Source organism: Homo sapiens, chromosome 7 (assembly GCF_000001405.40).
Source record: "Homo sapiens chromosome 7, GRCh38.p14 Primary Assembly".
Lineage (NCBI taxonomy): Eukaryota > Metazoa > Chordata > Mammalia > Primates > Hominidae > Homo > Homo sapiens.
The window spans coordinates 38,345,984-38,370,658 of record NC_000007.14 but is presented as its reverse complement, the minus strand read 5'-3'; the positions used below and the strand labels follow the sequence as shown (position 1 = coordinate 38,370,658).

Below are 24,675 nucleotides of genomic sequence, written 5' to 3'. Positions count from 1 at the left end.
AATTCCCAGTAAGTTTCTTATTTATTTTTCCTCAATTATCCCCTGGCCTGTACTCAGATAATCAGAGTATATGTACAAAGATAATCTGAAATGCAGAACTGTACACCAGGTGAGGACAGAGAGAAAGGGGGACTCTCTGTGGTCAGAGAGCCCTGGTTTTCTGTTTTTTGTCCTTTTCCATTCTCTCGCAGCCCCCAGGCAATCTGAGTGGCAGTGGCAGCAGCTATGGTGAGCCAGGAGCCTAAAGCTCTTAGGAAAGGGATCCTTCTCTCTGACCAGGGAAGCTGTGGCCCTGAGAGAGAATCCTGGTGGTTTTTGTTCTCTATCCTCTCACCACTTGGCCCTGGAGGGAGACACAATGGTGGGAAATGCAGTGTGCTAAAGCCACACCTGTCTGGCCAGACGACTGGAGGGGCATTTCCTGTGAACTAGAAAGTATTGCAGAGCTTGCAGAGAGAAAGAAGATTAAGCAAGAAACATCATGCAATGATGTCTGGACTCCTGGGCTCACCCACTAGCTGTGCATGCATAAACGTGACCCTAAACAGCTCCAAAGCCAAAGGCCTTGCAAACCGAAGCAGGAGTAGGCACTGCCCAGGTCCTAGAATGGCCACTGGGTGGCGCACACACAGGACAGGTCTGACAAGACAAGTACTGCAAAGGCTGGAAAACGGAACTGACTGGAACTGCCCACCAAACACCAGTAGGAAGTTGTAATCCCTAACTGCGTCAGTTGCCTGCTAACAAAAAAACCCCCTCCACATTCTGTGTAATATTTAAACAATGCCCAGAGCTCTATAACATGATATTCAAAGTGTACAGGATTTAATCCGAAATTACTCCGCATGTGGAGGACGAGGAAAATCTTAGCATCTCCAAACGGAAAAGCCAAACAACAGATGCTAATCCTGACACGACACAGGTGTTGGAATAACAAAGACTTTAAAGGAGCTATAGTGACCACAGGAAGAAATGGAAAGAGAGGAGGAGAGAAGGAGGTAGAAAGTAAATAGATAGGAGAGATACAAATAGAGAAATAGAAAAAGAGATGAATAGAGATAGGCAGATAGAGAGACAGAAACATAAAGATATGAACAGAGTAAGAAACAGGAGCACTAAAGCAAAATAGAGGAGACTGAGAGCTGTAAGAGGGAGCTATAGAAGGAAAAATGTAAAGGGAGGAACAAAAACGGGACAGAGAAAAAAGAAATATGGACATAAAGACGGAGATGGAAGGACATAGTGATAGAAAGCAATGCAGGAGATAGAGAAATAGAATAGTAGAGAGAGAAATAGAGCCAGGGCACGTGAAAGCTATAAAGCAATTCATGGTAGTTGTCTAAATTCAACATATCATTACGGTTGCATAATGCTAATATTCTCATTTTAACATTTCTCCTAAATTTATTGGTTGTAATACTTCCACAAAAGAACTTTCATTCGGCCAGGCACAGTGGCTCACACCTGTAATCCCAGCACATTGGGAGGCCGAGGTGGGTGGATCACTTGAGGTCAGGAGTTCAAGACCAGCCTGGCCCACATGGTGAAACCCCATCTCTATGAAAAATATAAAAATTAGCTAGGTGTGGTGGCGCGTGCCTGTAATCCCAGCTACTTGGGAGGCTGAGGCAGGAGAATTGCTTGAACCCCGGAGGTGGAGATTGCAGTGAGCTGAGATTGTGCCACTGCACTCCAGTCTGAGACACAGAGCGAGACTCTATCTATCTAAAGAAAAAAAAAAAGAACTTTCATTCTTAAGCTCTGTGGTATTCTAAAATGTTTGTACAGAAATGGCAAGGTAAATGCTTGATTATTTTCTTTTCTGTTTTCAGAATGAGATGGTGTCTTAGCAACCTCCAGAGGAGACTTTATTTTGCTATATTATGTTTTTCAAGAATTTGTGTAGGTGTTATTCTTTTGGTGCTTAAAATGTCCTACCGATGGTTAGTGAGAGCCACTGCCGTTGTTTTTATTTGAGTAGAGTCCAAGGCAAACCAACATGCCTGACCCTCAGTCCTGTTAATAAAGCAGGCTCAAGCCTTCTCAGAATGGCCCTGGGTGGACTTGCAAATGTGGACTTGCAAATGTGAAAAGGAAGGTGGTTCAGGGCCCTAATCAGAAGCTTCCTGGCAGGACCAGGTTCTGGCAGCTGCGTTGGCTGCTGAAACTCTGAAGTGCAGGATGTGAGCCTGCTGTGGGACTGCCCTCTCCCAAGGGCCATGACCAGCTAGCGCCAGGGTCAGCTTCCCCCACATCTGCACTCCCTCTGCTGTGGGCCTGAGCAATCCATGCCCCTGGCTCTCTCCTGAAGAGGGCCTGCTCTCAGCTGCCACAAGAGGGCGATGGAGAACGGGCCTGAGCAGAGAGGCAGGAGCTCCTCTGCAGGTCCTCCCAGGAACCACCGCTTCTGGGAGGAAGGCTTGGGAGTCCCCTAAGACACATCCTCAGTCACTTCTCCCTGCCTGTGACTCAGGAAGACCAGCTCCTCTTACTGTCTTCTGTGCTAGGGATCACTTCCTTGTTGAGTGGGGCCTGAGTTTTAAGAGGATCTTCTGCTCCTCTTCATCTGGTCCCTTTCCTTCCAAGGCCCCAGAGAGGAAGGCATGCGGTGGGCCCTAGCGGTGCTTCTAGCTTTCCTGTCTCCTGGTGAGTGCGCTGCCTACAGAGAGGATCACGGGTTTTGTTTTGTTTTGTTATTTTCTTCTTTTGCAAGGAGCGACATACTAAGAAATGCCTCATTATATTTTGTGTTGTTCCCATTGCAGCCAGTCAGATATCTTCCAACTTGGAAGGGAGAACGAAGTCAGTCACCAGGCTGACTGGGTCATCTGCTGAAATCACCTGTGATCTTCCTGGAGCAAGTACCTTATACATCCACTGGTACCTGCACCAGGAGGGGAAGGCCCCACAGTGTCTTCTGTACTATGAACCCTACTACTCCAGGGTTGTGCTGGAATCAGGAATCACTCCAGGAAAGTATGACACTGGAAGCACAAGGAGCAATTGGAATTTGAGACTGCAAAATCTAATTAAAAATGATTCTGGGTTCTATTACTGTGCCACCTGGGACAGGCACAGTGATTCAGACACTGAAAATCTGCCTGTGGTTGCTTCTGGTACACAAGATAGACCAGCCAACTCTCATTTCCTGCCCTGAATTTACTGTATTCTGTACAAAGAGAAACACAGCTTAACTCCTGATCTCCCCTGCAATATCACACTCCCCTGGCAGCAGCTGCACCCTGTTCCCCACCCTCCCCCAGGACTTTCCTGAAGACCAAGCTGCCACCTCCAAGCCTCAGCTAAGCAGCCTGGCTGAGAGCAAGTTTCTCTCAGCTCTCCTAGAACATGGGGAAGGCCCACTCACTCTGCTTCCTAGGACAGACAGGTACAGCTAGGGTCCAGCTGTGAAGCAAGACATTTTGGACAAAAATGGGAAGGGTATTCATACTGAATCATACATCCAATAATGGTCCAGAGATCGCAGCTGAGAGTGGTGCTTATTCCTTATGTCTATAACAATATAAGCAATACTATAATGACCACTAAAACACTAGGCCAATATATGCAGTTGAACATTCTCTCTCTCTGCCCTCCCTTTTATTCTCGCTCTCCTTTCTTACTTCCATGCTTGCTTTTATCATTTTCTCTCCCTCCCTCCCTTCCTCCTTTCCTTCCATCACCCCACCCTCCTTCCTTTCTTTCCTTCCTTCCTTCCTTGCTTTTCTCTCTTTCTCTCCTTTTTGTGTACATAATCACAATACTTTTTCCACAAAATCATTTGAAATAGTTTTTCTCTATTTGTTCATGCCAACATTGATATAGCTGCTTTAATTGTTCAGTTTCATTTTTATATTTTGGAAATTTGTGTATTATTTTGTTTTGTTTCATATTTGTTTTGTATACGTAAAACATTTAGTTGGAACTGAAGTCAAAATTATAAAAGATGACACATTTGAAGATTTTAGCTTCCATTGTAGACTTCTCATTCCTCTTTTCTCCCTGACACTATAGGTAACAATATTTTTATCCGTTTTCTTGAACTTTTTCACTCTGTCATAGCGCAGTATGTATCAATTCTATTTCAATGCCATATTTATATTTTTGTTCCTATATTTGGTTTTTATACATTTTAATCAATCTTATATTTTCCCGTGTCTGGATTGTGTGTCTTACTTCTAAAGGTGCACATACTTCATAAGTATGCATAAAGACGTCCATATCATTTATTTGAATGTTTTTATGTGTTGATTATTTAATGATGGCATCATTGATCTATCAGGAATTTTTATACAATAATTACTGTATTAGTAATAATAATACTGGCCAGGCCCGGTGGCTCATGCCTGTAATCCCAGCATTTGAGTAGTACAGTCGTTAGGAATACTTAGGCCGGGAGATTGCGACCAGCTTAGCCAACATGGTGAAACCCTGTCTCTACTAAAAATACAAAAAATTAGCTGGCTGTGGCGGTGCACACATGTAATCCCAGCTACTTGGATGCTGAAGCAGGAGAATCTCTTGAGCCTAGAAGGTGGAGTTTTCAGTGAGCTAATATCACACTACTGCAGTCCAGTTTGGGCAACACAGTGAGACTCTGTCTCAAAAAGACTAATAATAATAATAATATTGATGGTAAATATGGGTACTGACATTCTGGTAGTTAATGTACTAAGCACATTGCATGCATATTGTATTTAATCTACACAGAAACTTCATTAAGGATTTAAAGTACTGTTGAATGTAACATTAGAAATTGGGGGGTTAATTAACATTCCCTAAGTCATATACTTTAATTTGATAATGATTGCAATCCAAGCTCTGTGGTTCAGAAAATGAGATTTGTTAATTCGGTTTGCATTCCCCCATCGTAGGAGTACTAGCATCATTTTACAACTTTACAGTTCATTTATATTTCTTCTTTTGAGAATTGCCTTGTACACTCTTTTCCTATTCTTCTATTGGAGGATTAGTTTTTTCTTATTGGTTCGTAAGAATTAATATACACCATTTTAGAGATACTGACCCTTTATCCAATGTGTTGAAGATATTTCTCCTCATTTGTTATTATTTACATTTGGCACCTTTTGGAGAATTGAACTTTGAAAAAAACAAAATCTATCAATTTTTCTATGGTGTCTACTTTGATGTCAGGTTTAGAAAGGCCAATCTCACCTAGAATTTCTATGCAATTCATCATCATTTAAGTCTAATGATTTTCTTTTTATTACAACTAAATCACTATTTGTAACTGGTAAGGTAGAAATGCAGCAATATTTGTTTCCATATGGTAAGTCAATATCCAAAAGAGAACTTATGAAATAATTGACTATTTCCTTGTGGATATTAACATATCACTTTATCACATGATAAAATATTACATACATGCAGCTTTCTTTCTGGATTTTCCACTGTGTTCCATGAATCTTGTCATTCTAGTGCCAGTATTGCCTTCTCTTCAGCACTGTAGCTTTATAGTTCTTTTCACATTCTGATGAAGTTTCTCTCATTATCTTTTTGTTTTAAGAATTTTCTGTGCATGCTAGTGTGATCTCAATCCTCTCCCTTCCCATTTTTAAACCGTGAGACTTCTGTCCAGCAAGACTTTTTCACGCTCCAAGGCAGGCAAGCTTCCCTCCTTCACAAGGACCTGAGAATTCAGCTTTCAGAGCTGTTCCTGTGGAAGCCTCATGTCCTGCACATATGGTCCAGAGGCAGAGGGAGACCAACCGGAGCCCCCTCCCTTTCTCATTCCCAGCTGTGATGACAGCAAAAACTGAACTCTGTGAGCTAGGCCAACAACACAATTAAGAGAGACATTGTTCTACATCTCATTATGCATCTTTCAAACATGTGTCTCTATATACTTCTGACACAGGTGGTGGTAATCTGTGTATGCCTTACTGAATTTTCACAATTATATTACTGTACTACTTTTGTCCCCTATATTTCCATCTGTGAATCCAGGTGTACTGCAGATCTCAGTCCCCTTTCTGAGGGTAGGGCTGACAAATAAAATATACAATACCAAACAATTTGGAAGTTCAGATAAACAACAAGTTTTTAGTTTAAGTATGTTCCAAATATTGCATGACATGGCACCCTGAACTACTTAGAAAAAAAAAACAAAAAAACCTCACACTCCTACTTCAGTGAACAAAAATCCTCTAATAAAGAGATCACACCCACAGGATCACACACACACAAACACACACACACACACACACCCCACATACACCCATTTATCTTAGAGCAGAGTCCAAGACCCACCAACACACATGATCCTCAGTCCTTTCATTTTTATTATTTATTTATTTATTTATATTTATTATACTTTAAGTGCTAGGGTACATATGCACAACGTGCAGGTTTGTTACATATGTATACATGTGCCATGTTGGTTTGTTGCACCCATCAACTTGTCATCTACATTAGGTATATCTCTTAATGCTATCCCTCCCCCCTCCCCCCACCCCACTACAGGCCCCAGTGTGTGATGTTCCCCCACTCTGTGTCCAAGTGTTCTCCTTGTTCAATTCCCACCTACGAGTGAGAACATGCACTGTTTGGATTTCTGTCCTTGGAATAGTTTGCTCGGAATGATGGTTTCCAGCTTCATCCATGTCCTTACAAAGGACATGAACGCATCCCTTTTTATGGCCGCATAGTATTCCATGGTGTATATGTGCCACATTTTCTTAATCCAGTCTATCATTGATGGACATTTGGGTTGGTTCCAAGTCTCTGCTATCGTGAATAGTGCCACAATAAACATATGCTTTGCGTGGTGCCTCCAAGTGTCCTCGCAGATGCCAAAAGGAAGGTGGTTCAGTTCCCTAATCAGAGACTTCCTGGCAGGACAAGGTCCTGGCATCAGCATTAGCTGCTGCAACTCTGAAGGGCAGGGTGTGAGCCTGCTGTGGGACTGCCCCCTCCTAGGGCTGGGCCTGCTGACTCCAGGGTCTGCTTCCCCCACCTCTGCACTCCCTCTGCTGCAGGCCTGAGCTCTCCTTGCCCCTGGCTCTCTTCTGCAGAGGGCCTGCTCTCAGCTGCCACAAGAGGGCGCCGGAGAACGGACCTGAGCAGAGAGGCAGGGGCTCCTCTGCAGGTCCTCCCAGGCACCAACCCTTCTGGGAGGGAGGAAGGCTTGGGAGTCCTCTTAGACAGATCCTCAGTCACTTCCCTCTGCTTGTGTCTCAGGAAGACCACCTCCTCCTACTGTCTTCTGTGCTAGGGATCACTTCCTTGTTGAGTGGAACCTGAGTTTTAAGAGGATCTTCTGCTCCTCTTCATCTGGTCCCTTTCCTTCCAAGGCCCCAGAGAGGAAGGCATGCAGTGGGCCCTAGCGGTGCTTCTAGCTTTCCTGTCTCCTGGTGAGTGCGCTGCCTACAGAGAGGATCACGGGTTTTGTTTTATTTTCTTCTTTTGCAAGGAGTACCATACTAAGGAATTCCTCATTATATTTTGTGTTGTTCCCATTGCAGCCAGTCAGAAATCTTCCAACTTGGAAGGGAGAACGAAGTCAGTCATCAGGCAGACTGGGTCATCTGCTGAAATCACTTGTGATCTTGCTGAAGGAAGTAACGGCTACATCCACTGGTACCTACACCAGGAGGGGAAGGCCCCACAGCGTCTTCAGTACTATGACTCCTACAACTCCAAGGTTGTGTTGGAATCAGGAGTCAGTCCAGGGAAGTATTATACTTACGCAAGCACAAGGAACAACTTGAGATTGATACTGCGAAATCTAATTGAAAATGACTTTGGGGTCTATTACTGTGCCACCTGGGACGGGCACAGTGATTCAGATCCGCCCTACACCACACTGAAAATCTGCCTTGTGGCTGCTTCTGGTACACAAGATAGAGCCGCCCCCTCTCATTTCCTGCCACCAAATTTACCGTGTGCTGAACAAGAGAAACATTGCTTAACTCCTGATCTCCCCTGCAATATTACACTCCCCTGGCAGCAGCTGCACCCTGTTCCCCACCCTCCCCCAGGACTTTCCTGAAGACCAAGCCGCCATCTCAGCTAAGCCTCAGAGAAGCAGCCTGGCTGAGAGCAAGGTTCTCTTAGCTCTCCTAGGACATGGGGGAGGCCCACTCACTCTGCTTCCTAGGACAAATGGGTACCCCTAGGGTCCAGCTGTAAAGCAAGATATTTTGGACAACAAATGGGAAGGGAATTTATACTAAATTGTGTATCCCATCATGATCCAGAAACCGCAGCTGAGACTGGTGCTTATTCCTTATGTCTATAACAATATAAGCAATACTATAATGACCACTGAAACACCAGGCCTAGGTATGCAGTTGAACATTCTCTCCCTCTGCCCTCCCTTTTATTCTCTCTCTCTTTTTTCTTAATTCTTTGCTTGCTTTTATTATTTTTCTCTCTCCCTTCCTCCCTCGCTCCATCGCTCCCTCCGTCCTTCCCTCCCTCTCTCCCTCTCTCCTTCCCTCCCTTCCTCTCTTCTTTCCTTCCATCCATTCTCCTTCGTTTTCCTTCCTTCCTTCTTTGCTTTTCTCTTGCTTTCCTTTTTGGGTACATAATCAGAATACTTTTTCCACAAAATCATTTGAAATAATTTTTCTCTATGTGTTCATGTCAACATTGATATAGCTACTTTAATTGTTCAGTTTTCTTTTTTACATTTTGGAAATTTGTTGTATTACTTTGTTTTGTTTCATATCTGTTTTGTATATATAAAACATTTACATGGAAGTGAAGTCAAAATTATAAAAGATGATGCATTTGAAGATTTTAGCTTCCATTGTAGACTTCTCATTCTTCTTTTCTCCCTGACACTATAGGTAACAATATTTTTGGCAGTTCACTTGAGTTTTTTCACTGTTTGTCATAGCGGAGTATGTATTGTTTCTATTTCAATGCCATATTTATATTTTCTTTCTGATATTCAGTTTCTATATATTTTAATCAATCTTATATTTTCCTGTGTCTGGACTGTGTGTCTTACTTCTAAAGGTGCACATACTTCATAAGTATGCATAAAGACGTCCATATCATTTATTTGAATGTTTTTATGCATTCATTATTTAATGATGGCATCATTGATCTATCAGGAATTTTTATACAATAATTACTGTATTAGTAATAATAATACTGGCCAGGCCCGGTGGTTCATGCCTGTAATCCCAGCATTTGGGCAGTCCAGTCGTTAGGATCACTTAGGCCGGGAGATTGCGACCAGCTTAGCCAACATGGTGAAACCCTGTCTCTACTAAAAATACAAAAAATTAGCTGGCTATAGTGGCGCACACATGTAATCCCAGCTACTTGAATGCTGAAGCAGGAGAATCTGTAGAGCCTGGTAGGTGGAGTTTTCAGTGAGCTAATATCACACTACTGCAGTCCAGTTTGGGCAACAGAGTGAGACTCTGTCTCAAAAAAATGAATAACGATAATAATAATATTGATGCTACATATGGGTACTGACATTCTGGTAGTTAATGTACTAAGCACATTACATGCATATTTTATTTAATCTACACAGAAATTTCATTAGGGTTTAAAGTACTGTTGAATGTAACATTAGAAATTGAGGGGGTTAATTAACATTCCCTGAGTCATATACTTTAACTTGATAATGATTGCAATCCAAGCTCTGTGATTCTGAAAACGAGATTTGTAAATTCAGTTTGCATTCCCTCATCTTTGGGAGTACTAACATTATTTCACAACTTTATAGGTCATTTATAGTTCTTCTTTTGTGAATTGCCTTGTCATACTCTTTGCCTATTCCTCTCTTGGAGGATTAATTTTTTCTTATTAGTTTGTAAGAGTTAATATACACTATTTTAAAGATACTGACCCTTTATCCAATGTGTTGAAGATATTTCTCCTCATTTGTTGTTATTTACATTTGGCATCTTTTGGTGAATTGAACTTTGAAAAAAAAAGCATTAAAATCTATCAGTTTTTCTAGGGTGTCTAGTTTGATGTCAAGCTTAGAAAGGCCAATCTCACCTAGAATTTCTATGCAATTCATCATTGTTTAAGTGTAATGATTTTGTTTTTATTACAACTAAATCACTATCTATATCTGGTAAGAACGAAATGCAATAATATTTGTTTCCATATGGTAAGTCAATACCCAAAACAGAACTTATAAAATAATTGACTATTTCCTTGTGGGTATTAACATATCACTTTATCACATGATAAAATATTACATACGTGTGGCTCTCTTTCTGGATTTTCCACTGTGTTCCATGAATCTTCTCATTCTAGTGCCAGTATTGCCCTCTCTTCAGCACTGTAGCTTTATACTTCTTTTCACATTTTGATGAAGTTTCTCTCATTATTTTTTTGTTTTAAGAATTTTCTGTGCATTCTAGTGTGATCTCAATCCTCTCCCTTCCCATTTTTAAACCATGAGACTTCTGTCCTGCAAGACTTTTTCACGCTCCAAGGCAGGCAAGCTTCCCTCCTTCACAAGGACCCGAGAACTCAGCTTTCAGAGCTGCTCCTACAGCAGCCTCATGTCCTGCATGTGTGCTCCAGAGGCAGAGGGAGACCAACCAGAGCCCCCTCCCTTTCTCATTCCCAGCTGTGATGACAGCAGAAACTGAACTCTCTGAGCTAGCCCAACACAACAACTGAGAGGGACACTGTTCTCCATCTCATTATGCATATTTCAAACATGTGTCTCTATATACTTCTTACAGAGGTGGTGATAATCTGTGAATGCCTTACTGAATTTTCACAATAATATTACTGTACTTGATTTGTCCCCTTATTTTCATCTGTGAAGCCAGGTGCACTGCAGATATTAGTCTGCTTTCTGAGGGTAGGGATGACAAATAAAATATACAATACCGGGGGAATTGGAAGTTCAGATAAATAACAAGTTTTTAGTTTAAGTATGTTCCAAATATTGCATGACATGGCACCCAGTTCTACTTTAAAAACAAACAAGCAAACAAACAAATTCACACTCCTACTTTAATGAACAAAAATCTTCTAATAAGGAGGTCACACACACAGGATTACAGGCACAACCCCCACACACAAACACACACACACATTTACCTTAGAGCAGAGTCCAGGACACACCAACACACATGATCCTCAGTCCTTTTAATTTAAAGCACGTTCAACCCTTCTCAGAGTGGCCTTGAGTGGTTGCCTCCATGAGTCTGCAGATGCGAAAAGGAAGTTGGTTCCGGGCCCTAATCAGAGGCTTCCTGTCAGGACAAGGTTCTGGCATCAGCATTACCTGCTGCAACTCTGAAGGGCAGGGTGGGAGCCTGCTATGGGACTGCCCCCTCCAAGGTGTGAGCCTGTTAATTCCAGGGTCAGCTTACCCAACATCTGCAGTCCCTCAGCTGGAGGCCTGAGCTCTTAATGCCCCTGCCTCCCTTCTGCCCTGGGCCTGCTCTCAGCTGCCACAAGAGGGCGCCGAAGAAAGGGCCTGAGGAGATGCAGGAGCTCCTCTGCAGGTCCTCCCAGGCACCACCCCTTCTGGGAGGAAGGCTTGGGAGTCCCCTAAGACACATCTTCAGTCACTTCTCTCTGCCTGTGTCTCAGGAAACCAGCTCCTCCTACTGTCTTCTGTGCTAGGGATCACTTCCTTGTTGAGTGGGGCCTGAGTTTTAAGAGGATCTTCTGCTCCTCTTCATCTGGTCCGTTTCCTTCCAAGGCCCCCGAGAGGAAGGCATGCGGTGGGCCCTACTGGTGCTTCTAGCTTTCCTGTCTCCTGGTGAGTACGCTGCCTACAGAGAGGCTCACAGGTTGGGTTTTGTTTTGTTTTCTTCTTGAAAGGGGTGCCATACAAAGGAATACCTCATTGTATTTTGTGTTGTTCCCATTGCAGCCAGTCAGAAATCTTCCAACTTGGAAGGGAGAACGAAGTCAGTCACCAGGCAGACTGGGTCATCTGCTGAAATCACTTGCGATCTTACTGTAACAAATACCTTCTACATCCACTGGTACCTACACCAGGAGGGGAAGGCCCCACAGCGTCTTCTGTACTATGACGTCTCCACCGCAAGGGATGTGTTGGAATCAGGACTCAGTCCAGGAAAGTATTATACTCATACACCCAGGAGGTGGAGCTGGATATTGAGACTGCAAAATCTAATTGAAAATGATTCTGGGGTCTATTACTGTGCCACCTGGGACAGGCACAGTGATTCAGACCTGTCCTACACCACACTGAAAATCTGCCTTGTGGCTGCCTCTGGTACACAAGATAGAGCCGCCCCCTCTCATTTCCTGCCACCAAATTTCCTGTATTCTGAACAAGAGAAAGACAGCTTAACTCCTGATCTCCCTCCTAATATCACACTGTCCTGGCAGCAGCTGCATCCTGTTCCCCACCCCTCCCCCACAACTTTCCTGAAGATCAAGCTGCCATCTCCAGGCCTCAGCTAAGCAGCCTGGCTGAGAGCAAGGTTCTCTCAGCTCTCCTAGGACATGGGGGAGGCCCACTCACTCTGCTTCCTATGACACACAGGTACAACTAGGGTCCAGCTGTGAAGCGAGATATTTTGGACAGCAAATGGGAAGGGTATTTATACTGAATCATGTATCCACTCATGGTCCAGAGATCACAGCTGAGAGTGGTGCTTATTCCTTATGTCTATAACAACATAAGCAATACTATAATGACCACTAAAACACTAGGCCCAGGTATGCAGTTGAACATGGTCTCCCTCTGCCCTCCCTTTTATTCTCTCTCTCTTTTCTTACTTCTTTGCTTGTTTTTATTTTTCTCTCCCTCCCTAACTCCCTCCCTCCATCCATCCTTTCCTCCCTTCCTCCCTTGTTTCCTTCCATCCATTCTCCTTCCTTGTTTTCCTTCCTTCCTTCCTTGCTTTTCTCTCTCTTTCTTTCCTTTTTGGGTACATAATCAGAATACTTTTTCCACAAAATCATTTGATATAATTTTTCTCTATATGTTCATGCCAACATTCATACAGCTAGTTTAATTGTTCAGTTCTCTTTTTCACATTTTGGAATTTTGTTGTATTACTTTGTTTTGCTTCATATCTGTTTTGTATATATAAAACATTTACATGAAACTGAAGCCAAAATTATAAAAGATGATGCATTTGAAGATTTTAGCTTCCATTGTAGATTTCTCGTTCCTCTTTTCTCCCTGACACTATAGGTAACAATATTTTTGGCAGTTCACTTGAGCTTTTTCACTGTTTGTCATAGCGGAGTATGTATTGTTTCTATTTTAATGCCATATTTATATTTTCGTTCTGATATTTGGTTTTTATACATTTTAATCAATCTTATATTTTCCCGTGTCTGGACTGTGTGTCTTACTTCTAAAGGTGCACGTACTTCATAAGTATGCATAAAGAAGTCCATATCATTTATTTGAATGTTTTTATGCGTTGATTATTTAATGATGGCATCATCGATCTATCAGGAATTTTTATACAATAATTACTGTATTAGTAATAATAATACTTGCCAGGCCCGGTGGCTCATGCCTGTAATCCCAGCATTTGGGCAGTCCAGTCGTTAGGAACACTTAGGCCGGGAGATTGCGACCAGCTTAGCCAACATGGTGAAACCCTGTCTCTACTAAAAATACAAAAAATTAGCCGGCTGTAGTGGCGCACACATGTAATCCCAGCTACTTTGGATGCTGAGGCAGGAGAAACTCTTCAACCTGGAAGTTGGAGTTTTCAGTGAGCTAAGATCACACTACTGCAGTCCAGTTTGGGCAACACAGCGAGACTCTGTCTCAAAAAGACTAATAATAATAATAATATTGATGGTAAATATGGGTACTGACATTCTGGTAGTTAACGTACTAAGCACATTGCATGCACATTTTATTTAATCTACACAGAAACTTCATTAAGGTTTTAAAGTACTGTTGAATGTAACATTAGAAATTGGGGGGTTAATTAACATTCCCTAAGTCATATACTTTATCTTGATAATGATTGCAATGCAAGCTCTGTGGTTCCTAAATGAGATTTGTTAATTTGGTTTGCATTCCCCCATCTTTAGGAGTACTAGCATCATTTTACAACTTTACAGGTCATTTATAGTTCTTCTTTTGAGAATTGCCTTGTCATACTCTTTTCCTATTCTTTTTTTGGAAGATTAGTTTTTTCTTATTAGTTCGTAAGAATTAATATACACCATTTTAGAGATACTGACCCTTTATCCAATGTGTTGAAGATATTTCTCCTCATTTGTTATTATTTACATTTGGCACCTTTTGGTGAATTCAACTTTGAAAAAAAAACAATAAAAGCTATCAATTTTTCTAGGGTGTCTAGTTTGATGTCAGGCTTAGAAAGGCCAATCTCACCTAGAATTTCTATGCAATTCATCATCGTTTAAGTCTAATGATTTTCTATTTATTACAACTAAATCACTATTTGTAACTAGTAAGGTAGAAATGCAACAATATTTGTTTCCATGTGGTAAGTCAATACCAAAAAGAGAACTTATTTAATAACTGACTATTTCCTTGTGGGTATTAACATATCACTTTATCACATGATAAAATATTACATACATGCAGCTCTCTTTCTGGATTTTCCACTGTGTTCCATGAATCTTGTCATTCTAGTGCCAGTATTGCCCTCTCTTCAGCACTGTAGCTTTATAGTTCTTTTCACATTCTGATGAAGTTTCTCTCATTATTTTTTTGTTTTAAGAATTTTCTGTGCATTCTAGTGTGATCTCAATCCTCTCCCTTCCCATTTTTAAACCGTGAGACTTCTGTCCAGCAAGACTTTTTCACGCTCCAAGGCAGGCAAGCTTCCCTCCTTCACAAGGACCCGAGAACTCAGCTTTCAGAGCTGTTCCTGTGGAAGCCTCATGTCCTGCACGTGTGCTCCAGAGGCAGAGGGAGACCAACCGGAGCCCCCTCCCTTTCTCATTCCCACCTGTCATTCCCAGCTGTGAAGACAGCAGAAACCGAACTCTGTGAGCTAGGCCAATACCACAACTGAGAGGAATATTGTTCTACATCTCATTATGCATCTTTCAAACATGTGTCTCTATATACTTCTTACAGAGGTGGTGATAATCTGTGTATGCCTTACTGAATTTTCACAATTATATTACTGTACTTCCTTTGTCCCCTATATTTCCATCTGTGAATCCAGGTGTACTGCAGATCTCAGTCCCCTTTCTGAGGGTAGGGCTGACAAATAAAATATACAATACCAAACAATTTGGAAGTTCAGGTAAACAACAAGTTTTTAGTTTAAGTATGTTCCAAATATTGCATGACATGGCACCCTGAACTACTTAGAAAAAAAAAAACAAAAAAAACTCACACTCCTACTTCAATGAACAAAAATCCTCTAATAAAGAGATCACAACCACAGGATCACACACACACAAACACACACACACACACACACCCAACACACACACCTTTATCTTAGAGCAGAGTCCAAGACCAACCAACACACATGATCCTCAGTTCTTTTATTTTTATTATTTCTTTATTTATTTATATTTATTATACTTTAAGTGCTAGGGTACATTTGCACAACGTGCAGGTTTGTTACATATGTATACATGTGCCATGTTGGTTTGTTGCACCCATCAACTTGTCATCTACATTAGGTATATCTCCTAATGCTATCCCTCCCCCCTGCCCCCACCCCACTACAGGCCCCAGTGCGTGATGTTCCCCCACTCTGTGTCCAAGTGTTCTCATTGTTCAATTCCCACCTACGAGCGAGAACATGCACTGTTTGGATTTCTGTCCTTGGAATAGTTTGCTCGGAATGATGGTTTCCAGCTTCATCCATGTCCTTACAAAGGACATGAACGCATCCCTTTTTATGGCCGCATAGTATTCCATGGTGTATATGTGTCACATTTTCTTAATCCAGTCTATCACTGATGGACATTTGGGTTGGTTCCAAGTCTCTGCTATCGTGAATAGTGCCGCAATAAACACACGCTTTGCGTGGTGCCTCCAAGTGTCCTTGCAGATGCCAAAAGGAAGGTGGTTCAGTTCCCTAATCAGAGACTTCCTGGCAGGACAAGGTCCTGGCATCAGCATTAGCTGCTGCAACTCTGAAGGGCAGGGTGTGAGCCTGCTGTGGGACTGCCCCCTCCTAGGGCTGGGCCTGCTGACTCCAGGGTCAGCTTCCGCTACATCTGCATTCCCTCTGCTGCAGGCCTGAGCTCTCCTGGCCCCTGGCTCTCTTCTGCAGAGGGCCTGCTCTCAGCTGCCACAAGAGGGCGCCGGAGAACGGACCTGAGCAAGAGAGGCAGGAGCTCCTCTGCAGGTCCTCCCAGGCACCAATCCTTCTGGGAGGGAGGAAGGCTTGGGAGTCCTCTTAGACAGATCCTCAGTCACTTCTCTCTGCTTGTGTCTCAGGAAGACCAGCTCCTCCTACTGTCTTCTGTGCTAGGGATCACTTCCTTGTTGAGTGGGGCCTGAGTTTTAAGAGGATCTTCTGCTCCTCTTCATCTGGTCCCTTTCCTTCCAAGGCCTCAGAGAGGAAGGCATGCAGTGGGCCCTAGCGGTGCTTCTAGCTTTCCTGTCTCCTGGTGAGTGCGCTGCCTACAGAGAGGATCATGGGTTTTGTTTTCTTTATTTTCTTCTTTTGCAAGGATTGCCATACTAAGGAATTCCTCATTATATTTTGTGTTGTTCCCATTGCAGCCAGTCAGAAATCTTCCAACTTGGAAGGGAGAACGAAGTCAGTCATCAGGCAGACTGGGTCATCTGCTGAAATCACTTGTGATCTTGCTGAAGGAAGTACCGGCTACATCCACTGGTACCTACACCAGGAGGGGAAGGCCCCACAGCGTCTTCTGTACTATGACTCCTACACCTCCAGCGTTGTGTTGGAATCAGGAATCAGCCCAGGGAAGTATGATACTTACGGAAGCACAAGGAAGAACTTGAGAATGATACTGCGAAATCTTATTGAAAATGACTCTGGAGTCTATTACTGTGCCACCTGGGATGGGCACAGTGATTCAGATCCGCCCTACACCACACTGAAAACCTGCCTTGTGGCTGCTTCTGGTACACAAGATAGAGCCGCCCCCTCTCATTTCCTGCCACCAAATTTACCGTGTGCTGAACAAGAGAAACATTGCTTAACTCCTGATCTCCCCTGCAATATCACACTCCCCTGGCAGCAGCTGCACCCTGTTCCCCACCCTCCCCCAGGACTTCCCTGAAGACCAAGCCACCATCTCAGCTAAACCTCAGAGAAGCAGCCTGGCTGAGAGCAAGGTTCTCTTAGCTCTCCTAGGACATGGCGGAAGCCCACTCACTCTGCTTCCTAGGACAAATGGGTACCTCTAGGGTCCAGCTGTGAAGCAAGATATTTTGGACAACAAATGAGAAGGGTATTTATACTAAATTGTGTATCCCATCATGATCCAGAAATCGCAGCTGAGACTGGTGCTTATTCCTTATATCTATAACAATGTAAGCAATACTATAATGACCACTGAAACACCAGGCCTAGGTATGCAGTTGAACATTCTCTCCCTCTGCCCTCCCTTTTATTCTCTCTCTCTTTTTTTAATTCTTTGCTTGCTTTTATTATTTTTCTCTCTCTCCCTTCCTCCTTCCCTCCGTCCTTCCCTCCCTCCTTCCCTCCCTCTCTCCCTCCCTCCTTCCCTCCCTTCCTCTCTTCTTTCCTTCCATCCATTCTCCTTCGTTTTCCTTCCTTCCTTCTTTGCTTTTCTCTTGCTTTCCTTTTTGGGTACATAATCAGAATACTTTTTCCACAAAATCATTTGAAATAATTTTTCTCTATGTGTTCATGTCAACATTGATATAGCTACTTTAATTGTTCAGTTTTCTTTTTTACATTTTGGAAATTTGTTGTATTACTTTGTTTTGTTTCATATCTGTTTTGCATATATAAAACATTTACATGGAAGTGAAGTCAAAATCATAAAAGATGATGCATTTGAAGATTTTAGCTTCCATTGTAGACTTCTCATTCTTCTTTTCTCCCTGACACTATAGGTAACAATATTTTTGGCAGTTCACTTGAGCTGTTTCACTCTGTTTTTCATAGCGGAGTATGTATTCTTTCTATTTGAATGCCATATTTATATTTTCTTTCTGATATTCAGTTTCTATATATTTTAATCAATCTTATATTTTCCTGTGTCTGGACTGTGTGTCTTACTTCTAAAGGTGCACATACTTCATAAGCATGCATAAAGATGTCCATATCATTTATTTGAATGTTTTTATGCATTGATTATTTAATGATGGCATCACTGATCTATCAGGAATTTTTATACAATAATTACTGTATTAGTAATAATAATACTGGCCAGGCCCGGTGGCTCATGCCTGTAATCCCAGCATTTGGGCAGTCCAGTCGTTAGGATCACTTAGGCCGGGAGATTGTGACCAGCTCAGCCAACGTGGTGAAACCCTGTCTCTAGTAAAAATACAAAAAATTAGCTGGCTGTAGTGGCACACACATGTAATCCCAGCTACTTGGATGCTGAAGCAGGAGAATCTGTAGAGCCTGGTAGGTGGAGTTTTCAGTGAGCTAATATCACACTACTGCAGTCCAGTTTGGGCAACAGAGTGAGACTCTGTCTCAAAAAAATGAATAACGATAATAATAATATTGATGGTACATATGGGTACTGACATTCTGGTAGTTAATGTACTAAGCACATTACATGCATATTTTATTTAATCTACACAGAAACTTCATTAAGGTTTAAAGTACTGTTGAATGTAACATTAGAAATTGGGCGGTTAATTAACATTCCCTAAGTCATATGCTTTAATTTGATAATGATTGCAATCCAAGCTCTGTGGTTCCGAAAATGAGATTTGTAAATTCAGTTTGCATTCCCCCATCTTTGGGAGTACTAGTATTATTTCACAACTTTATAGGTTATTTATAGTTCTTCTTTTGTGAATTGCCATGTCATACTCTTTGCCTATTCCTCTCTTGGAGGATTAATTTTTTCTTATTATTTCGTAAGAGTTAAGATACACTATTTTAAAGATACTGACCCTTTATCGAATGTGTTGAAGATATTTCCCCTCATTTGTTATTATTTACATTTGGCACCTTTTGGTGAATTGAACTTTGAAAAAAAAAGCATTAAAATCTATCAATTTTTCTAGGGTGTCTAGTTTGATGTCAAGCTTAGAAAGGCCAATCTCACCTAGAATTTCTATGCAATTCATCATTGTTTAAGTGTAATGATTTTGTTTTTATTACAACTAAATCACTATCTATATCTGGTAAGAACGAAATGCAATAATATTTGTTTCCATATGGTAAGTCAATACCCAAAAGAGAACTTATAAAATAATTGACTATTTCCTTGTGGATATTAACATATCACTTTATCACATGATAAAATATTACATGCATGCGGCTTTCTTTCTGGATTTTCTACTGTGTTCCATGAATCTTCTCATTCTAGTGCCAGTATTGCCCTCTCTTCAGCACTGTAGCTTTATAGTTCTTTTCACATTCTGATGAAATTTCTCTCATTATTTTTTTGTTTTAAGAATTTTCTGTGCATTCTAGTGTGATCTCAATCCTCTCCCTTCCCATTTTTAAACCATGAGACTTCTGTCCAGCAAGACTTTTTCATGCTCCAAGGCATGGAAGCTTTCCTCCTTCACAAGGACCCCGAGAACTCAGCTTTCAGAGCTGCTCCTACAGCAGCCTCATGTCCTGCACGTGTGCTCCAGAGGCAGAGGGAGACCAACCGGAGCCCCCTCCCTTTCTCATTCCCAGCTGTGATGACAGCAGAAACTGAATTCTCTGAGCTAGGACAACACAACAACTGAGAGAGACACTGTTCTACATCTCATTATGCATCTTTCAAACATGTGTCTCTATATATTCTTACAGAGGTGGTGATAATCTGCCTATGCCTTACTGAATTTTCACAATAATATTACTATACTTTTTTTGTCCCCTATATTTCCAACTGTGAATCCAGGTGCACTGCAGATATTAGTCTGCTTTCTGAGGGTAGGGATGACAAATAAAATATACAATACCGGGGGAATTGGAAGTACAGAAAAATAACAAGTTTTTAGTTTAAGTATGTTCCAAATATTGCATGACATGGCACCCAGTACTACTTTAAAAACAAACAAGCAAACAAACAAATTCACACTCCTACTTTAATGAACAAAAATCCTCTAATAAGGAGGTCACACACACAGGATTACAGGCACAACCCCTGCCCCCCCAACACACACACACACATATTTACCTTAGAGCAGACTCCGGGACACACCAACACACATGATCCTCAGTCCTTTTAATAAAGCACGTTCAACCCTTCTCAGAGTGACCTTGAGTGGTTGCCTCCATGAGTCTGCAGATGCGAAAAGGAACTTGGTTCAGGGCCCTAATCAGAGGCTTCCTGTCAGGACAAGGTTCTGGCATCAGCATTACCTGCTGCAACTCTGAAGGGCAGGGTGGGAGCCTGCTATGGGACTGCCCCCTCCAAGGTGTGAGCCTGTTAATTCCAGGGTCAGCTTACCCAACATCTGCAGTCCCTCAGCTGGAGGCCTGAGCTCTTAATGCCCCTGCCTCCCTTCTGCCCTGGGCCTGCTCTCAACTGCCACAAGATGGCGCAGAAGAAAGGGCCTGAGGAGATGCGGGAGCTCCTCTGCAGGTCCTCCCAGGCACCACCCCTTCTGGGAGGAAGGCTTGGGAGTCCCCTAAGACACATCTTCAGTCACTTCTCTCTGCCTGTGACTCAGGAAGACCAGCTCCTCCTACTGTCTTCTGTGCTAGGGATCACTTCCTTGTTGAGTGGGGCCGGAGTTTTAAGAGGATCTTCTGCTCCTCCTCATCTGGTCCCTTTCCTTCCAAGGCCCCCGAGAGGAAGGCATGCGGTGGGCCCTACTGGTGCTTCTAGCTTTCCTGTCTCCTGGTGAGTACGCTGCCTACAGAGAGGCTCACAGGTTGGGTTTTGTTTTGTTTACTTCTTTTGAAAGGGGTGCCATACAAAGGAATACCTCATTAAATTTTGTGTTGTTCCCATTGCAGCCAGTCAGAAATCTTCCAACTTGGAAGGGGGAACGAAGTCAGTCACGAGGCCGACTAGGTCATCTGCTGAAATCACTTGTGACCTTACTGTAATAAATGCCTTCTACATCCACTGGTACCTACACCAGGAGGGGAAGGCCCCACAGCGTCTTCTGTACTATGACGTCTCCAACTCAAAGGATGTGTTGGAATCAGGACTCAGTCCAGGAAAGTATTATACTCATACACCCAGGAGGTGGAGCTGGATATTGATACTACGAAATCTAATTGAAAATGATTCTGGGGTCTATTACTGTGCCACCTGGGACAGGCACAGTGATTCAGACCTGTCCTACACCACACTGAAAATCTGCCTTGTGGCTGCCTCTGGTTCACAGGATAGAGCCGCCCCCTCTCATTTCCTGTCACCAAATTTACTGTATTCTGAACAAGAGAAAGACAGCTTAACTCCTGATCTCCCTCCTAATATCACACTGTCCTGGCAGCAGCCGCACCCTGTTCCCCACCCCTCCCCCACAACTTTCCTGAAGATCAAGCTGCCATCTCCAGGCCTCAGCTAAGCAGCCTGGCTGAGAGCAAGGTTCTCTCAGCTCTCCTAGGACATGGGGGAGGCCCACTCACTCTGCTTCCTATGACACACAGGTACAACTAGGGTCCAGCTGTGAAGCGAGATATTTTGGACAGCAAATGGGAAGGGTATTTATACTGAATCATGTATCCAGTCATGGTCCAGAGATCACAGCTGAGAGTGGTGCTTATTCCTTATGTCTATAACAACATAAGCAATACTATAATGACCACTAAAACACTAGGCCCAGGTATGCAGTTGAACATGGTCTCCCTCTGCCCTCCCTTTTATTCTCTCTCTCTTTTTTCTTACTTCTTTGCTTGTTTTTATTTTTCTCTCCCTCCCTAACTCCCTCCCTCCATCCATCCTTTCCTCCCTTCCTCCCTTGTTTCCTTCCATCCATTCTCCTTCCTTGTTTTCCTTCCTTCCTTCCTTGCTTTTCTCTCTCTTTCTTTCCTTTTTGGGTACATAATCAGAATACTTTTTCCACAAAATCATTTGATATAATTTTTCTCTATTTGTTCATGCCAACATTTATACAGCTAGTTTAATTGTTCAGTTTTCATTTTTACATTTTGGAAATGTGTTGTATTACTTTGTTTTGCTTCATATCTGTTTTGTATATATAAAACGTTTACATGAAACTGAAGCCAAAATTATAAAAGATGATGCATTTGAAGATTTTAGCTTCCATTGTAGATTTTTCGTTCCTCTTTTCTCCCTGACACTATAGGTAACAATATTTTTGGCAGTTCACATGAGCTTTTTCACTGTTTGTCATAGTGCCGTATGTATTGTTTCTATTTCAATGCCATATTTATATTTTCATTCTGATATTCGGTTTTTATACATTTTAATCAATCTTATATTTTCCCGTGTCTGGATTGTGTGTCTTACTTCTAAAGGTGCACATACTTCATAAGTATGCATAAAGACGTCCATATCATTTATTTGAATGTCTTTATGCATTGATTATTTAATGATGGCATCATTGATCTATCAGGAATTTTTATACAATAATTACTGTATTAGTAATAATAATACTGGCCAGGCCCGGTGGCTCATGCCTGTAATCCCAGCATTTGGGTGGTCCAGTCATTACGATCACTTAGGCCAGGAGATTGCGACCAGCTTAGCCAACATGGTGAAACCCTGTCTCTACTAAAAATACAAAAAATTAGCCGGCTGTAGTGGCGCACACATGTAATCCCAGCTACTTTGGATGCTGAGGCAGGAGAATCTCTAGAGCCTGGAAGGTGAAGGTTTCAGTGAGCTAAGATCACACTACTACAGTCCAGTTTGGGCAATAGAGTGAGACTCTCTCTCAAAAAAATGAATAATGATAATAATAATATTGATGGTACATATGGGTGCTGACATTCTGGTAGTTAATGTACTAAGCACATTACATGCATATTTTATTTAATCTACACAGAAACTTCATTAAGGGTTTAAAGTACTGTTGAATGAAACATAAGAAAATGGGGGGTTAATTAACATTCCCTAAGCCATATATTTTAATTTGATTATGATAGCAATCCAAGCTCTGTGGTTCCAAAAATGAGATTTGTTAATTCGATTTGCATTCCCCCATCTTTAGGAGTACTAGCAATATTTGACAACGTTATAGGTCATTTATAATTCTTCTTTTGAGAATTGCCTTGTCGTACTCTTTGCCTATTCTCCCTTTGGAGGATTAATTTTTTCTTATTGGTTCGTAAGAATTAATATGTACTATTTTAGAGATGATGACCCTTTATCCAATGTGTTGAAGATATTACTCCTCATTTGTTATTATTTACATTTGGCACCTTTTAGTGAATTCAACTTTGAAAAAAAAACAATAAAACCCATCAATTTTTCTAGGGAGTCTAGTTTGATGTCAGCTTAGAAAGGCCAATCTCACCCAGAATCTGTATGCAATTCATCATCGTTTAAGTCTATTGATTTTCATTTTATTACAACTAAATCACTATTTGTAACTGGTAAGGTAGAAATGCGACAATATTTGTTTCCATATGGTAAGTCAATACCTAAAAGAGAACTTATTAAATAATTGACTATTTCCTTGTGAATATTAATATATCACTTTATCACATGATAAAATATTACATACATGCAGCTCTCTTACTGCATTTTCCACTGTGTTCCATGAATCTTCTCATTCTAGTGCCAGTATTGCCCTCTCTTCAGCACTGTAGCTTTATAGTTCTTTTCACATTCTGATGAAATTTCTCTCATTATTTTTTTGTTTTAAGAATTTTCTGTGCATTCTAGTGTGATCTCAATCCTCTCCCTTCCCATTTTTAAACCATGAGACTTCTGTCCAGCAAGACTTTTTCACGCTCCAAGGCAGGCAAGCTTCCCTCCTTCACAAGGACCCGAGAACTCAGCTTTCAGAGCTGCTCCTACAGCAGCCTCTTGTCCTGCATGTGTGCTCCAGAGGCAGAGGGAGACCAACCAGAGCCCCCTCCCTTTCTCATTCCCAGCTGTGATGACAGCAGAAACTGAATTCTCTGAGCTAGCCCAACACAACAACTGAGAGGGACACTGTTCTCCATCTCATTATGCATATTTCAAACATGTGTCTCTATATACTTCTTACAGAGGTGGTGATAATCTGTGAATGCCTTACTGAATTTTCACAATAATATTACTGTACTTGATTTGTCCCCTTATTTTCATCTGTGAATCCAGGTGCACTGCAGATATTAGTCTGCTTTCTGAGGGTAGGGATGACAAATAAAATATACAATACGCAGAGAATTGGAAGTTCAGATAAATAACAAGTTTTTAGTTTAAGTATGTTCCAAATGTTGCATGACATGGCACCCAGTACTACTTTAAAAACAAACAAGCAAACAAACAAACTCACATTCCTACTTAATGAACAAAAATCCTCTAATAAGGAGGTCACACACACAGGATTACAGGCACAACTCACCCCCCCCAACACACACACACATTTACCTTAGAGCAGAGTCCAAGACACACCAACACACATGATCCTCAGTCCTTTTAATTTAAAGCACGTTCAACCCTTCTCAGAGTGGCCTTGAGTGGTTGCCTCCATGTGTCTGCAGATGCGAAAAGGAACTTGGTTCAGGGCCCTAA

General features: G+C 41.9%; 1 long non-coding RNA gene, 1 pseudogene, 4 gene segments (V, D, J or C) and 1 further gene, besides 15 other annotated features; 6 read left to right on the top strand and 1 right to left on the bottom strand.

Annotated features, from left to right (window-relative positions):
* TRG-AS1 (T cell receptor gamma locus antisense RNA 1) overlaps positions 1 to 24,675 on the bottom strand; it is a 37,220-nt gene that overhangs the window by 7,982 nt on the left and 4,563 nt on the right. Inside the window, exons 2-3 of the long non-coding RNA NR_040085.2 lie at positions 24,532 to 24,638; positions 20,209 to 20,313 (exon numbers count right to left, since the gene is read on the bottom strand). This is a non-coding gene — a long non-coding RNA (T cell receptor gamma locus antisense RNA 1). The remainder of the gene's footprint in view (positions 1 to 20,208; positions 20,314 to 24,531; positions 24,639 to 24,675) is intronic.
* Positions 455 to 504: an enhancer, noted in NCBI's record as "active region_25871". NCBI's record gives its function as "activates an Ori minimal core promoter by ATAC-STARR-seq in GM12878 lymphoblastoid cells {active_cell/tissue: GM12878}" and the evidence as "EXISTENCE:reporter gene assay evidence [ECO:0000049][PMID:35858748]".
* Positions 2,489 to 2,578: an enhancer, noted in NCBI's record as "active region_25870". NCBI's record gives its function as "activates an Ori minimal core promoter by ATAC-STARR-seq in GM12878 lymphoblastoid cells {active_cell/tissue: GM12878}" and the evidence as "EXISTENCE:reporter gene assay evidence [ECO:0000049][PMID:35858748]".
* Positions 2,604 to 2,646: a sequence feature (TRGV1 leader sequence).
* TRGV1 (T cell receptor gamma variable 1 (non-functional)) lies at positions 2,604 to 3,073 on the top strand (annotated as a pseudogene). Its single transcript is given in 2 exon segments — positions 2,604 to 2,646; positions 2,766 to 3,073. Coding segments are annotated over 2 exon segments (351 nt in total).
* Positions 2,604 to 24,675, top strand: part of TRG (T cell receptor gamma locus) — a 128,032-nt gene continuing 105,960 nt past the window's right edge.
* Positions 2,766 to 2,776: a sequence feature (TRGV1 leader sequence).
* Positions 7,173 to 7,272: an enhancer, noted in NCBI's record as "active region_25869". NCBI's record gives its function as "activates an Ori minimal core promoter by ATAC-STARR-seq in GM12878 lymphoblastoid cells {active_cell/tissue: GM12878}" and the evidence as "EXISTENCE:reporter gene assay evidence [ECO:0000049][PMID:35858748]".
* Positions 7,331 to 7,373: a sequence feature (TRGV2 leader sequence).
* On the top strand, positions 7,331 to 7,795 carry TRGV2 (T cell receptor gamma variable 2). The segment is given in 2 exon segments: positions 7,331 to 7,373; positions 7,485 to 7,795. Coding segments are annotated over 2 exon segments (354 nt in total), but the record flags the coding sequence as incomplete, so codon positions are not given.
* Positions 7,485 to 7,495: a sequence feature (TRGV2 leader sequence).
* Positions 7,656 to 7,705: an enhancer, noted in NCBI's record as "active region_25868". NCBI's record gives its function as "activates an Ori minimal core promoter by ATAC-STARR-seq in GM12878 lymphoblastoid cells {active_cell/tissue: GM12878}" and the evidence as "EXISTENCE:reporter gene assay evidence [ECO:0000049][PMID:35858748]".
* Positions 11,680 to 11,722: a sequence feature (TRGV3 leader sequence).
* TRGV3 (T cell receptor gamma variable 3) lies at positions 11,680 to 12,147 on the top strand. The segment is given in 2 exon segments: positions 11,680 to 11,722; positions 11,837 to 12,147. Coding segments are annotated over 2 exon segments (354 nt in total), but the record flags the coding sequence as incomplete, so codon positions are not given.
* Positions 11,837 to 11,847: a sequence feature (TRGV3 leader sequence).
* Positions 16,476 to 16,518: a sequence feature (TRGV4 leader sequence).
* TRGV4 (T cell receptor gamma variable 4) lies at positions 16,476 to 16,944 on the top strand. The segment is given in 2 exon segments: positions 16,476 to 16,518; positions 16,634 to 16,944. Coding segments are annotated over 2 exon segments (354 nt in total), but the record flags the coding sequence as incomplete, so codon positions are not given.
* Positions 16,634 to 16,644: a sequence feature (TRGV4 leader sequence).
* Positions 20,835 to 20,877: a sequence feature (TRGV5 leader sequence).
* TRGV5 (T cell receptor gamma variable 5) lies at positions 20,835 to 21,304 on the top strand. The segment is given in 2 exon segments: positions 20,835 to 20,877; positions 20,994 to 21,304. Coding segments are annotated over 2 exon segments (354 nt in total), but the record flags the coding sequence as incomplete, so codon positions are not given.
* Positions 20,994 to 21,004: a sequence feature (TRGV5 leader sequence).
* Positions 21,258 to 21,307: an enhancer, noted in NCBI's record as "active region_25867". NCBI's record gives its function as "activates an Ori minimal core promoter by ATAC-STARR-seq in GM12878 lymphoblastoid cells {active_cell/tissue: GM12878}" and the evidence as "EXISTENCE:reporter gene assay evidence [ECO:0000049][PMID:35858748]".